Source organism: Homo sapiens, chromosome X, assembly GCF_000001405.40.
Source record: "Homo sapiens chromosome X, GRCh38.p14 Primary Assembly".
NCBI classification, from domain to species: domain Eukaryota; kingdom Metazoa; phylum Chordata; class Mammalia; order Primates; family Hominidae; genus Homo; species Homo sapiens.
The window spans coordinates 120234964-120248863 of NC_000023.11; the positions used below are offsets into that span (position 1 = coordinate 120234964).

The following is a 13900-nucleotide window of genomic DNA, read 5'->3' on the forward strand; positions in this document are numbered from 1 at the left end:
TTGTTCTTGTTTGTTGTTGCCTTTCTCCCTTCCTCCCCGTTTTCTCTTCATAGGACATGAAACTTCACAACCTGCTAAACATGAGCTTTCCTAATAACATGGGACCTAATCATGTAGGAATAAAGCATCCTAGCCATGAGAGATCAGACAAACCTAAGACCAAAGGACTCATTTTCTTCTAAAATGCTTTCTCTGAAGGATTTTTAAAAGGGGGGAAATGTAAAAAAAAAAAAAAAAAAAAAATCTCGCGACCCCAAAATCACTAAGCCAAAGGGAAAAGTCAAGCTGGGAAAAGTCAAGCTGGGCAGGACAAACCTGCCTCCTGTTCTATTCCTAAATAAGATAACTACAAAGATTTTTTACAAAGCTATATACCTCCCTCACAATTTGCTCACAAGGAAATTCCTTGTGAACAGACAGAATTTAAAGTCATCCCTCTCCTCACGTGAGACAAATGCCTATCTGATTGCTTTCTTTGCCCTATTGTTTGACTAAGCCAGACTAAGGGATAAGTGAATATTCCTGTAAATCGTGTATTCAGTGAAAGACTAATCAGAAACTCAAAAGAATGCAACCATTTGTCTCTACCTATGACCTGGAGGCCCCCTCCCCACTTCGAGTTGTCCCGCCTTTTCGGACCAAACCAATGTGTATCTTACATATATTGATCGGTCTCATGTCTCCCTAAAAGGTATAAAACCAAGCTGTGCCCCAACCACCTTGGGCACATGTCGTGAGGACCTCCTGAGGCTGCGTCACAGGTGCATACTTAACCTTGGCAAGATAAATTTTCTAAATTGATTGAGACCTGTCTCAGATACTTTTTGGTTTACAAAACAAAGCCAGAGGCCTAGTCCAGAGCTTGGCAAATAGTCCACGCTCACTAAGGGTGAGCTGAAGGGAAGGCTTGCAGTGTTAACTTTCCTAAGATATTTTAGTAATAACATAATAGTCTCTCCCACTGTGGTTTAAAATTTCAATAGCACATAGATTTGCATGTTATATTTTTCTATTAAGATATGAACTATTAAATATACTGAACCAATTCTCCTTCTCCCCCTGAAGGTTTGGTTTAAGATTAGGAAGATCAAGTAGAGAAGATATCAGAAGGCTTTAGATTTTAGATATATGTCACCCATTGCCATCGATCTGTCATCATAATCTTGGATGGGCTCTATAATGCCATCCTTGTTCTGGAGCCCAGTTGGAGTTGGGTTCTTGTAGTGCCACTGCAGCCTAGAATATCCAGGCTTCCCATGCTGTCCTTGCCTCCTCTGTCTATGCCTTGCTTTGCCCTGACTTTGTTTGGCCTGGTATAGGCCCCTGTCATCAGCATTCATTTGTAGTCTCCATTTTCTTAGGTCTGTTTTTTACAAATTTTTCCAAAATGTTTTTCTGCCAGATTCAAATTCTGCATGGCACATCCTCAAGTGCAGTTCACCAAATGTCTGTTAAATGAACTAAATAAACAAAAAAGTCAGTGCACCATTTTTTATAAGGCACATTTTTTATTTAAAAAAAGTTGTGAATTCCTTGTAAACATTGGTTCCCAGGACCCCTGCAGATACCAAAATCCATGCATACTCAAGCCCCACACTTGAACCTGCAGAATCCAAGTATACAAAAAGTTGGCCTTACCTATCTGCAGGTTTTGCATCCCACGAATACTGTATTTTTGATCTGCATTTGGTTGCAGGTGTGAAACCTGTGGATATGGGGGGCCAATTCTATTTATTGAAAAAAAATCCACATATAAGTGGACATATGCAGCTCTAACCTGTGTTGTTCAAGGGTCAACTGTATATCTGTTTTGTGTGCCAAATAAGGTATGGATAAGAATTTCAAAGGAAAAGTCATTTAAACAGAATTACAAGGAAGCCTCATTTTATGAGCTGACATTCCTCAATCACCAATACGCCCTGTACGGCTCACATACATACATATGCAAAATGGGGGTGGGGAAAGTCCCTAGTAAAAGAACAGTGTGTTTCAAGACAGGGCCCATCTCCATTTATGCTGAAGAGCTTAGACACAACCCTGTAGTCTAAAGGAATCTTCCGAAGAAGCTACTCATAGGGCTTTATGGGAAGGTGGCAGCCAAACATCTATCTAGTATATTGCAAATTCTGTTCACTATCCTCCCTTTCTGTGGAGGACATAGGGAAATAGGAATCATTCTGGCCCAAAGTTCCTCTGCATCAAATGAAACACAAGAGGAGACTCTACCAAAGCCAGAATGAGGCAGTTCTCCCTTTGCTCACCCATCCCCAGCCCAGAAGGCATATTGTTGCATATTCCCCAGCTCAGAAGCTGACAATCATGCATTCAAATGTATTTTGTCTCATTCAACCTCCTTGAAAGGACCCTGGTTCCTGATGATAAAAACACAAAAAGGGAACCTTTTGTTTAGTGCTGCTAGAAGCAAGAGGGAGGAGGTAGTTCCCTGATTAATATTCTAGATTAATTGATCATCAAAAAGAAGCAGTCAGACCTTGGCTTTCTTTATGCTGTCTTCCTCATGTGAAACTGCTAGGCTAGAAAACAACAAAAATTTAAAAATGGAGTGTGATGAGAGTTGAGGAGTTATTGTTAATTTTTTTAGGCATGATAATGGTATTGTAGTTATGTTTTTAGAAAAAGAACGTGTATCTGATATGGTTTGGCTCTGTCCCCACCCAAATCTCATCTTGTATTATAATCCCCACATGTGGAGGGAGGGGTCTGGTGGGAGGTAATTGGATGGATGGGTTTCCCCCATGCTGTTGTCATGATACTGAGTGAGTTTTCATGAGAACTGGTTATCTGTAAAGTGTCTGGTGCTTCCCCCTTCTCACTCTCTCTTCTGCTCCCATGTCAGATGTGCCTTGCTTCCCCTTTGGCTTCCGCCATGATTGTAAATTTCCTGAGGCCTCCCAAGCCATACAGAACTATGAATCAATACCTCTTTTCTTTATAAATTACTCAGTCTCAAGTATGTCTTTATGGTGTGTGAAAACAGACTAATAAAGAAAACAGTCTTTTAGAGAAACATGCTGAATTGTTTATAAATGACATTATACCTGGGATTGGTTTCAAATTAATTAGGGGGCAATGGCAATTTCCCACAAGTTGTTAATTGTTCAAGCTGGGTGCTACGTGCCTGAGGGATCATTATACCATTCTATGTATGTTTATACACATTTGACCTTTTCCATAATAAAAATTAAAGGAAAAAATCTGGCCATCTGCATTTCTTTTCCTTTTTCTTAGCTGTCTTTGCTCTCATTTTTGTGTCTTCATCTGCAAATTAAAACACATTATAATTTTTAAAAAGTTACCTCTAAAACCTCAATACTTTTGAGTAAATAAATATGCTTTTGCTGTTTCTCATTTGTTGTTACAGAGAAATTTATTCATTCAAACATTTATTACTATTTGTCAAGAACTGTGCTAGGCACTGGGGATATATATATTATTAAAGTCACATTAGGTATTATATGATATAAGAAATTAATGTTAATTTTTTCATAAGTTAATGGTATTATGGTTAAGTAGGAAAATATCATTTTAAAGAGATACACAGAAATATTTTGTAGTGAAATGTGATGACATTTGTAATTTACTTTGAATACCTTAGTGAAAAATCCATATTTGAAGCAAACATGTCAAAATGCTAACAAATGTTAAACCTGAGTACTAAGGTATATAGTATTAATTATACTATTCCCTTTACTTTTCTGAACATTTGAAGATTTCCATGATAAAAAGGGAAAGAAAACTATGTGTGTGTTGGAGTGGGGAAGGAGAATGCTTTCTAGGAGCTCAGTCTAATGGAGGAGACAAATAGGTAAAGAGATTGATACAATCCAGAGTGACATAAGGAAGCTTGAGGTGCTCTGGACACACAGAGGAGTCTCAAAATCAGAACTGATTTGAGGAGGGGGGTTGAGGAATGGTTGACCAAGAAAGGTGGCTCTGAGAGTAGTTATTTGATTACAAAATCCATTGTTGCAATGAGTAAGCCAAGCTTGTTGGAAGAAGAGACTGGTATTGTAGGCAGAGGGCCTCTCTACCAAGCAATAGAGTCAAGAGAAAGAACATGGAATACTGAGGAGACAGAAAGCAGTTCTAGCCTAGGCAACACAGCATGACCTCATCTCTACAATTTTTTTTTTTTTTAATAGCTGGGCATGGTTGCGCATGCCTGTGGTCACAGCTACTCGGAAGGCTGAGGCAGGAGAATCACTGGAACCCTGGAGGTGGAGGTTGCAGTGAGCAGAGATCGAGCCACTGCCCTTCAGCCTGGGTGACAGAGGGAGGCCCTGAAAAAAAAAAGAAAGAAAAGGAAAAAGAAAGAAAGAAGAAGGCAGGCAGGCAGGCAGGCACGAAAGAAAAGAAAAGAAAGAGAAGAGAAGAGAAGAAAGAAAGAAGGAAAGAAAGAAAGGAAGAAAGAAAAAAAGTTTTCAGGCCACAGAGTATGGTGCAACAAAAAGTGACAGGGTATATGTGATTAGAGAAGGATCAGTCAGGGTCTGAACTTTACCCTGAGGGCTATGGAGAACTACTGAAGGATTTTGAGTATGGCACTGACATGCTTAGATGTGTGCTTTAAGAAAGTTTGGTTTTCCAGTGGCAAGGAAGTAAAGTGACATTGGGGACCAGGAAACTGGGGCAATATCAGAGGAAGCAGAGCCTTTGTGGAATATGCCAACCAAGAGAAAGCACCCTCTGGTCAATCATTAGACAGGAGAGGGCGTAAAAAAGGTGGCTTTTTGTGATGCACTACCCCAGATGGGGTGCCTTCCATAAATTGGCAGCCAGTCTAAAGGGAGTGCCTTTTTGAAAACTGTACAGCAGTGCCCACTGGGCACGAGAATTACACAAATGAGCCCTTCCACTGGGCTGATGCAGCCCTGTAAGGCTTACTTTGGTACAGCCCAATCCCCTGACTTGGTCTGGTGCCATGTGCTTTGTACAACTATGCACAACCAATCTGGAGTCAGATTGCTTAGGTTTGAATCCCAACTGTATGACCTTGGGGACAGTACTTATAATCTGCTCTGTCTCCATTTCCTCATCTATAAGATGTACCCAACAGTTATTTATGGATTAGATGGTAATAATGAATATAAAGCACTTATGGGGAATGCCTGGCACAAGGTTAGCAAGCGTTCAAAAACTCTTCAGTATTATTAGTGTTTTCAGGAACCTTCTTCTAAAATAAGTTTTAAGAAATAAAACTAGTTTTGAAGCAAGGCTTGCAGAATGCTGTTGGCTTTCTTACCACTGGAGTCTGTTTCAGAATCAGAGTCACTGTCGCTATCTTCAGAATACTTCTTGTGTTTTCTTTTTGATAAATTTTTCTTTCTTCCTTTCTTGGACCTTTCACTTGAATGACTAGACTACTATTTTTCTGTAAAAATATAAATAAAAAAGTAACTTCTAAAAAAGTATTTCTGATTATCAATTTTATTGCATTTGAAATACTGAAAAGGAATAGATGATAGGCAATTTGAATAAAAGTAAAGTCTAATGTTTAACTATTTATAAACTTTTTCTAACTTCTCAAGAAAGGTCTGTATCTTAAAAATACTTTCTGATGTAGAAACTGAAGTAGTGCATTTCTTTGGCTCTTCATTCTTTACTTCAATATGTTCAGCAGAGCTGAATTTAAAGAAAATGGTTATAAGAATTAGAAAAGTGATGAAATATGGACCATAGAGTATAAAAACACAGACTTAAAACTTTTCAGCAACAATGACAATTGTCCAAGAACCATTAAAAACAAGCATTGGACTTCTTTCATAAGAATACAGTTCATGTCTGTAATCCCGGCACTTTGGGAAGCCAAGGTGGGAGGATCACTTGAGCCCCAGAGTTCAAGACCAGCCTAGGCAAAATAGCAAGACCCCATCTATACAAAAAATTTAAAACATTAGCCAGGTATGGTGGTGCTTTCTTGTAGTCCCAGTTACTCAGGAGGCTGAGATGGGAGGATCACTTGAGCCTGGGATGTCAAGGCTGCAGTGAGCCATGATCATGCCATTGCACTCCAGCCTGGGTGACAGAGCAAGACTGCCTAAAAATAAAATAAAATAAAAAATAAATAAATACAGTTCAAGGGTCTGCCACCTTCATAATAATAAAATAACTTACATTTGCACAATGCTTTACAGATTACAAAGCACTACTCAAACTGAAAGCAGCATGGAGGATTTATATTTTCAGAAGAAATCACAGGCTAAAAATAGAGAAAACAGAATCAGAAGGAAAGATGAAAGAAACTGTATATAAAAAGTCTGAAGAAGATATCATAATTTTATTCTAAGCATGTAAAAAACAAATGGTAGAGCAGCAACTGTTCTGTCTCCTCAGAGCAAGAAGATCCTAAGAAGCTACAATCTAAAGAGATTTGGGGGACACATGTTCTCAGGACCTGAGGCTATGTCACGGTAAAAAATTGTGTGTGTGTGTGTGTGTGTGTGTGTGTGTGTGTGTGTGTATTTGTTTTGTTGCAGAGAATTCTTAAAATAAGTATTATTAAAGTTCTACAGTAGGCTTGGCGTGGTGGCTCATACTTATAATCTCAGCACTTTGGGAGGCCAAAGCACAAGAACAGCTTGAGCCCAGGAATTCAAGACCAGCCTGGGCAACATAGTGAGACCCTTCTGCACAAAAAATTTAAAAATTAGCTGGGTGTAGTGGTGTGCACCTGTATTCCCAGCTACTCGAGAGGCTGGGGCAGGAGGATCACTTGAGCTGGGAAGGTCAAGGCTGCAGTGAGCCATGATCGTGCCACTGCACTCTAGCCTGGGTGACAGAGTGAGACCCCGCATCAGAAAGAAAGAGAAAGAAAGCAAATAAATCAATAAATAAAGTTCTACAATACTTTAGAAAGGGACTTTCTATATTATATAATCTTTCCCTTTGAAGATCACATCTGCAATAATTTAGGTATTGCCTAGAAAATTATTTTTAGGGTTCCTTCTGACTCTAATTCTATGAGTTCAGGTCCTTTAAGCATTTACCAAGGGTATCTATAAGAATACACTTCAGATAATAATGTTTTATCACCTTGTCACAAATTACAGGTTTACCTGTGAAACACATTGCCTCAACTCAACCTAAACACAGAAATAGAGGAGAGGGAAGAAGAAACTTATGAGCAACACCAAAGAGAAAAGAAATAAGCAAAAAAAAAAAAGTACTAATATTTCACATAGTATTGGATACAGGAAAATTAACTAAACCGAACTACACTGGCATCTGCATTTTTTAAAAATCGCTGTGTAATACTATTGTCTGGAATGCAATCTGCTCCTGGGTTGAAGAAAAAAATCAAAATATAAATGTATTATCTGTTTTAACACTGAACTCCTCTATTAATAGGAAATTAGCACCCCATGAATACAATTTAAAGAAAACAATTAGCATGCTAAAATGCACTAGCAACATGTTTTAATTCTTAGGTATGTTAGACTCCCTTTAGTTCCTTTTTAAAAAAGAGTACCTTACCTATCTGTTCTTTGGAGGACACTAATTTTTTATTGTATTATAATGTTTGTCATTTATTGTTTTAATTTTTGCTGTTACTCATAAGCTGAAAAAAATAAACTAAGAGAGGTTCAATTTCCTCAAAGTTTAGCTGCTTACGTCTATAAAAATCCTTATAAAATAAATGTTTGATTTCATTGTTTGAATAAATATTTTTTACTTCTTTATTCAGGGAAAAGGTATTATAAGTATACAGAGTTAGTCTCAGAGGGTTTCCCATTTCAAGAGCAGGTAATCAAAAAGTAAACATACGTCTAACAGTTCTTGGAATATGAGTATAGGGACCAAGGATGCCTGCCAGACTATAAAGACACACAGTCTTTGTGGTGTGAGGCACAAAATTAAGGCCCAATATTGTGTACTACCTTGACAATTGGGGAAACCAGGAGGGCTCCCAATGGCCTTACTGCGAATTCTCCTCTCCATTCTGCTCCTGCAAATAAGGTCCCCTAGCCAAATGACCCTCCTTCTCAAAGAGACCAGACGCAGTTCCAGCTTATCTCTGGGTAGCAGATTTTAGTACATTGTCAGCTTGTGGAATTATTCAAACAAGCCAATCATATCCTTCCAAGGGAAAGCAGGTATTACCTCAATTTCTTGATACCACAAAGTCTACCTCCCACAGCCCCTGATTATTCACTGTCTTACCAACAGCAACCTCGGTGTGGCCCTTCGTGGCACGCTGTGTTCTCTCCCATTCCAGCTGTGAACATATGTGATTAATAAACTGCTGTTGATCTCATCTGTCCTGTGTTCAGCTACTCCATAACACAAAGGGTGGGAATCCTTCCCTCATCAACATGGTGAATAGCAGACAATTATAACACTCCCTGCTGCTACCTGGTTTTATCTGTGCCTTAAGATAAATTATTTATCTTCTATGTGCACAAATGCAAATTTTACCCAAGTTGTTCTTATATGTTTTGGTTAGGATTCTAAAATAAGAAGTTTTTTGATTGACACAAACTGGGAGGACCTTTCCATCCCAAAGGCAGGAGCGCTCCTCAGAGGACAGGTGCAGTAGTTTCACTCACCTCTCCCACATGGGCAAAAAATGTGTATCTGTAACCTAACTCAGGACTGTTTTTACTTCCTCTGCTCCCAGGCATGAAACTCTAATAACCAACACCTGTGAAATGCTTATTACGTTCAAGGCACTACATCATTACAATAACCCTAAAAACGTCAGTACTATTTGTATCCCCCTTTTACAGGTGAAAAAATAATGAAGCTTGGAGAGGTTACCAAGGTCACATAGGTATTAAGTAGCAAAGCAAGGCTTCAAACTCAGAAAGTCTCAATCCAGAGGCTGTCCTTCTCATCACTATGCTTTATTACATCCCACTAGTGGAAGAAAAAGACTCATCAAGACATCTCCCACCTGTTGGAATTTCAACCTACCCCTCAATACCTGTAATGTTTTAAAATTTCTCATTTTTTAACCGTAGTGCATGTAAGGCACTCAGTATAGTACCTGACACATTCAATAAACATTTGATATGAGTACTTACACAGCAATAATTATAATTATTTTCCTTCTCAAACCATCTACTTCCCACTCCAATATTCACTCTCATTAGAGGAAAACTCATCTCACTCTCCTCTCATTCTTCAAGGTCAAGATTGAGACCACTTAAGACCTTCCTGAAGGTAGCCACATCTGCAGTTTAGCACATCACTTTGCCTACATTCATCCAGTTATCTTGTCTCAGAGGAAGGTATTTCTCCTTTCCAATTTAAACCCTTAATCTCAACCCTTTCCAACTCCCTACAAGGAATTTCCACTTAGTTAGCCTGTTAGGATCTCAAACCGATCATTCACTCAACACACAACACTTTCAGTAGATTGAGCCCCTATTAAGTGCCAGGCACTGCAAATTCTGTAATGAATAAAATAGGGGTCCTCCTTTCCACGAGCTCAGTCTAGTGGAGAATAAAAATATGTTCACGAACGATAACACAAAACAAATAAATGCTATACGTAGGTCTGTGACCCTTAGCCGTGTCTGCTCCGAGATCAGAGGCGAAAGAGGGTGGAGGGAGACCGGGGCACCCTACAAAGGGGCCCAAGGATGAGTGAGAATGTGAGAGAGGAGAGGGGCGAACAAGGAGCTGTCGTGGATAGATTGCAGAAAAGGATGAAAATGGGCGCGGTGAAGGTAGAAGGAGCGAAATGCAAATGGTCAGAAGCGGGCTGAAAGATGAAGCGGACTCGCTGAAGGCAAGTGGGCTCCTTAGAGCGAAGGTGCAGCCATGATCTCACTCACCTCTGCCACGGATTCACCTCCCTCTCCTCGTCCCGTAGGAGCGTGAGTAGTTGCCGCAATAGGCGCAAGAGCAGGCAGAAGCGAAAGTGATGGTCCACGGCGCAGTCAGCCGCTCTTGAGAATGCGACCACAACTGGGAGCGGCAGGGCTGGTTTCGGGAGCCTTGGCTGAGCCCATTCCATTCCCCAGTCAGAGAACAAGAGTTCCAGTGAGAGTTGCGCCCCAGCGGGGAACGGGCGGCTTTGCTGGGCTTGGGGCTCTTGGACAAACTGCAACACATTCCCCCGCCCGGAGCCCGAGGCCTCCCTCTCGGCACTGCAGAACCGGACACCGGAGCTACTGCAGCCTCGAAAACGGGACATTCTCAGGAGCCTCAGCAGTATCCGTTGCCTTTGCTCCAAAAACCCAGCCCGCGCAACCGCTGGGAGCAAAGGAAACCATGGGAACTATTGCGAGTACGTTGGCAAAACATTTCCCCAGGTCTGTGTGGCCTCCGGCCAAGGTGAAGAGGTGTGTGTCTTGGTGTAAATAAACCGCTACTGCAACCGATTTCGCTCATCCTTTGGTTCCGCATTGAGGCTCGCCAGGGTCTAAATCCGCACAGAGACTAGGTCTTCCTTAGGCTTCTACTTGAAATAACTGAAGGGCAGGACGAGAGTCCACTGGAGACATTTCACAGAATGGCCATATCAACAACATAGACAATTCTGTTCGTGTACGGGTGCTTTCCGTGAATGTGTGTATTACATGTTCTATAATATTGGGCGCACTCTGTGTCGTGTGTGTGTGTATAAAATATGTACATTTGGTTATGTGTGTATATATGTACATATATAATAAATAGGACTGGCTCAAACAGATTCACATATTTTTTCGGAGTCTATTTGAATTAAAAGAAAAATCTGAGATGGGAAGAAAAGGGACAAAGTATTCAAAGTATTTCGTACACAACTGAAAGTGTTTATTTCAGTGTTGTCAGATTTATTAATAGCAAAAAGAAATATACAGTAGGCCACTTATCTTTGAATTTCAAATAAAGAATAATGTTTTAGTATAAGTATGTTCCATACAATAATACAGTAGAAAGTGACTACTTTCTATTAAAGATGAGGTGATAGCCACGGTTGTACTTCTTCCTCTCCTACTACTTCTAAAATTTGTTTCTTATATTCTTTTTTTGTTTGCTTGTTTTGTTTTGTTTTGAGATGGAGTCTCACTCTGTCACCCAGGCTGGAATGCAATGGCGCGATCTCAGCTCACTGCAACCTCCACCTCCTGGGTTCAAGTGATTCTCCTGCCTCAGCCTCCCAAGTAGCTGGGATTATAGGTGCCCGCCACCACACTCGGCTAATTTGTGTATTTTTAGTAGAGACGGGGTTTGGTCACGTTGGCCAGGCTGGTCTCGAATTCCTGACCTCAAGTGATCCTCCCACCTCGGCCTCCCAAAGTGCTGGGATTACAGGCATGAGCCACCGTGCCCGGCCTTGTTCCTTATATTCTAAGGCTTTTCGCTTGCTGTTTGAGAAAGGGAAGTGGGAGCAGCCCCTGATATCCACAAACTGACCTCGCACTCACAATTAGGCATGTTCTTCTCTTGTTGAACATAAACTCACAGAACACCAACCCAAGACAAGATCACTGGGAGCCTGATCAAGTGAGACAAAACAAGACCACTTCATAAGCTTGTCTAAGCACAGACAAAAACAAGCTCACTGTGACACCCAGAAAACACCAAACACCCCTTCTTGGCCAAGATAGGTCACTGCTACTTTGCCAGTTAATGTACAGCTTTATCCTCCCTCTAGTCTGCCCTCCCTATAAATAAGATTTATTGAAATGTGCAATCATACAATTGCCCCTGCTTTCTGATGTATCTGAGACGGAACTCCTGATTCCTAGACCTTCCCCCAAATTGTCCAAATCCTATAATAGGTTCATTCTAACAACTTCTTATTGAAACACATCATAGTTACCTATAGTGTGTGTTGTCCCTCCCTGGAGTAAGAGTAATAAACTCAATCTGTCAACTATGGGTATGTTTCTGGTAGTCTTTGGTTGAAGGGCAATGACACATTCCACTGCCTAAAATGTTCTTCCCCAGATATTTATATGGCCCTTTCCCTTAGTTCATTCCATTCTTTGGCCATACATCATCTTTTCAGAGAGGCTGTGCTTGACCACACAATTTACAATAACACCCTCATCATTCTCTATCCCTTTGCTCTATTTTTCTTCATAGCACTTACTACTTTCTGTTTTTGTATTATATATTTATATTATATATATACAAATGTTGATTGTATGTCTCTTCCATTATAATGTAAGTTCCATGAAGACCAATATCTCAACTTGATGATAATTATATCCACAGTGCCTACAACACTGCCTACAACACTGCCTGGCACAGAGTAAATACTAAATGATATATGTTTAATATGTATTGAAAAAATGAATGAAGTTTACAGTGTCGGGCTTTATAAGTTTCATTGTCACATAGTCATAATCAATCTGTTGTTTGGACTTAGTCTTCCACTTAAATAGATTGGCTTACTGCAAAATCTCCATTCTTAATTCTTTATTTGGACTCATTTCTTATTTGATTTGACTTCATATATTGCCAAGTAATTTTCACAAATGACTCATAGGTAGTATATTCCCTCAATTTTGTTCAAGTTTGGAATAAGCTGTCTGTTGCTTTTTTTGGTAGATTGTATTATTGTTAGCAATTATCGACGACTCCTTTTCCAGTAGGAGAGTTATATATCCCTATCCAATTGACTTTGGAAAGTTTTAAGAAAAAAGGGCAATAGGCAGTATTAGACAGGTCACTTAAAGAGAGATTTGTTGGGATTAAGCAGAAAAGGGGATAGTGGTGAGAAAGCAACATATATTTGGCACTTACTGGGTTCCAGACACTCATTCGTTCAGCATTAAGCAACCATCTCTATCTACAATTTGTTGGGCCAAGGGATGCTTCACAAATAAGTTAGTACTTGAGTTGGGTTTTTATGGAAAACCAGGCACTTGCCAGGAACTAACCAGACAACAGGTTAAGCGAGGTGTGGCTATGAAGGGAATGACTATTCCAAGCTCAGGGCTCCAGGCTCAGACTTGAAGGCAGTAAATTGCATGGCATATTCTGGAAACCGTGAGCAGTTTGACACTATGCATAGTTGATTCATTTAATCCTCAAAGTGACTCTGTGGGAAGGTATTATTATCCCTATTTTACAGATGAAGAATCAGGCATAAGATCAAAGAGCTAGGAAGTGGCAGTATCAGAATTCCAACCCACTCACATCTTCTGCTTAAGACTTTGTTTCTTCCACTCTACCTTACTAGGGTTTCTGCAGATCCCATGGAGTGACCTTACCAAATCTGTAACCATAAGCATAACATATAGGAAGTGCTCTAAGACTGAACGAGTGTCACTTTATCTTTTGTCATCAATTAATATATATTAAGCACCCACAAGATTGTTGGCATTTTAACACAGGAGAGGACAGTTACCGCCCTCATGGAATTCACAATCAAGGTCAAAAGGCAAGCAAACGCTGACAATACGGCTATAAAACCTAACTCATCCCATTTTCAGCCAATAAAACCTTTCTAGAATGTGAAACAATTGATACCTCCAAATCCATTTGATATAGGTTGTTCTCTGACCTCAGGTGATCCTCCCACCTCGGCCTCCCAAAGTGAGTTGTTGTTGTTTGAAATAGAGTTCAAACTACTGGGTTGTTTGAAGTAGGGTTAAGCCCTCCAGATTAAAAACAAAAGTAAAAGTGAAATGACTAGTTGAGAAACAGAAAATTAATTAAACTTTCCAGTGATCCTGTCCCAAAGACAATTATTAAGGCCACTCAGGCTTCTTGGTCTGTTCTGCTTTCCTACAAATAAAATTCCTTTCCTGACCATTGGACCCCCTTTCATTATAGGTAGCTTTTAAACTTGTTTAGTTTTTGCTTGGTTAGGGGGTGAGAGATACAGCAAGAAGGGAAGAGAAGGTTTACTGTGCTTTGAATGAACAGGTTTCATCATATGTTAGTTGGTACTCCAAACTTTTAAAATACTTTCAGGAAAGTGACAATGGCATGGCAA

The 13900-nt window shown here is 40.0% G+C and overlaps 1 pseudogene across 1 annotated transcript; it reads right to left on the bottom strand.

Annotated features, from left to right (window-relative positions):
* Nucleotides 1–1488: 1488 nt before the first annotated feature.
* On the bottom strand, nt 1489–10304 carry NKAPP1 (NFKB activating protein pseudogene 1; annotated as a pseudogene). Its single transcript, NR_027131.1, has 3 exons — nt 9801–10304; nt 5264–5392; nt 1489–3279 (listed from the first exon to the last, which is right to left on the bottom strand). The product of NR_027131.1 is annotated as an NFKB activating protein pseudogene 1 (transcript).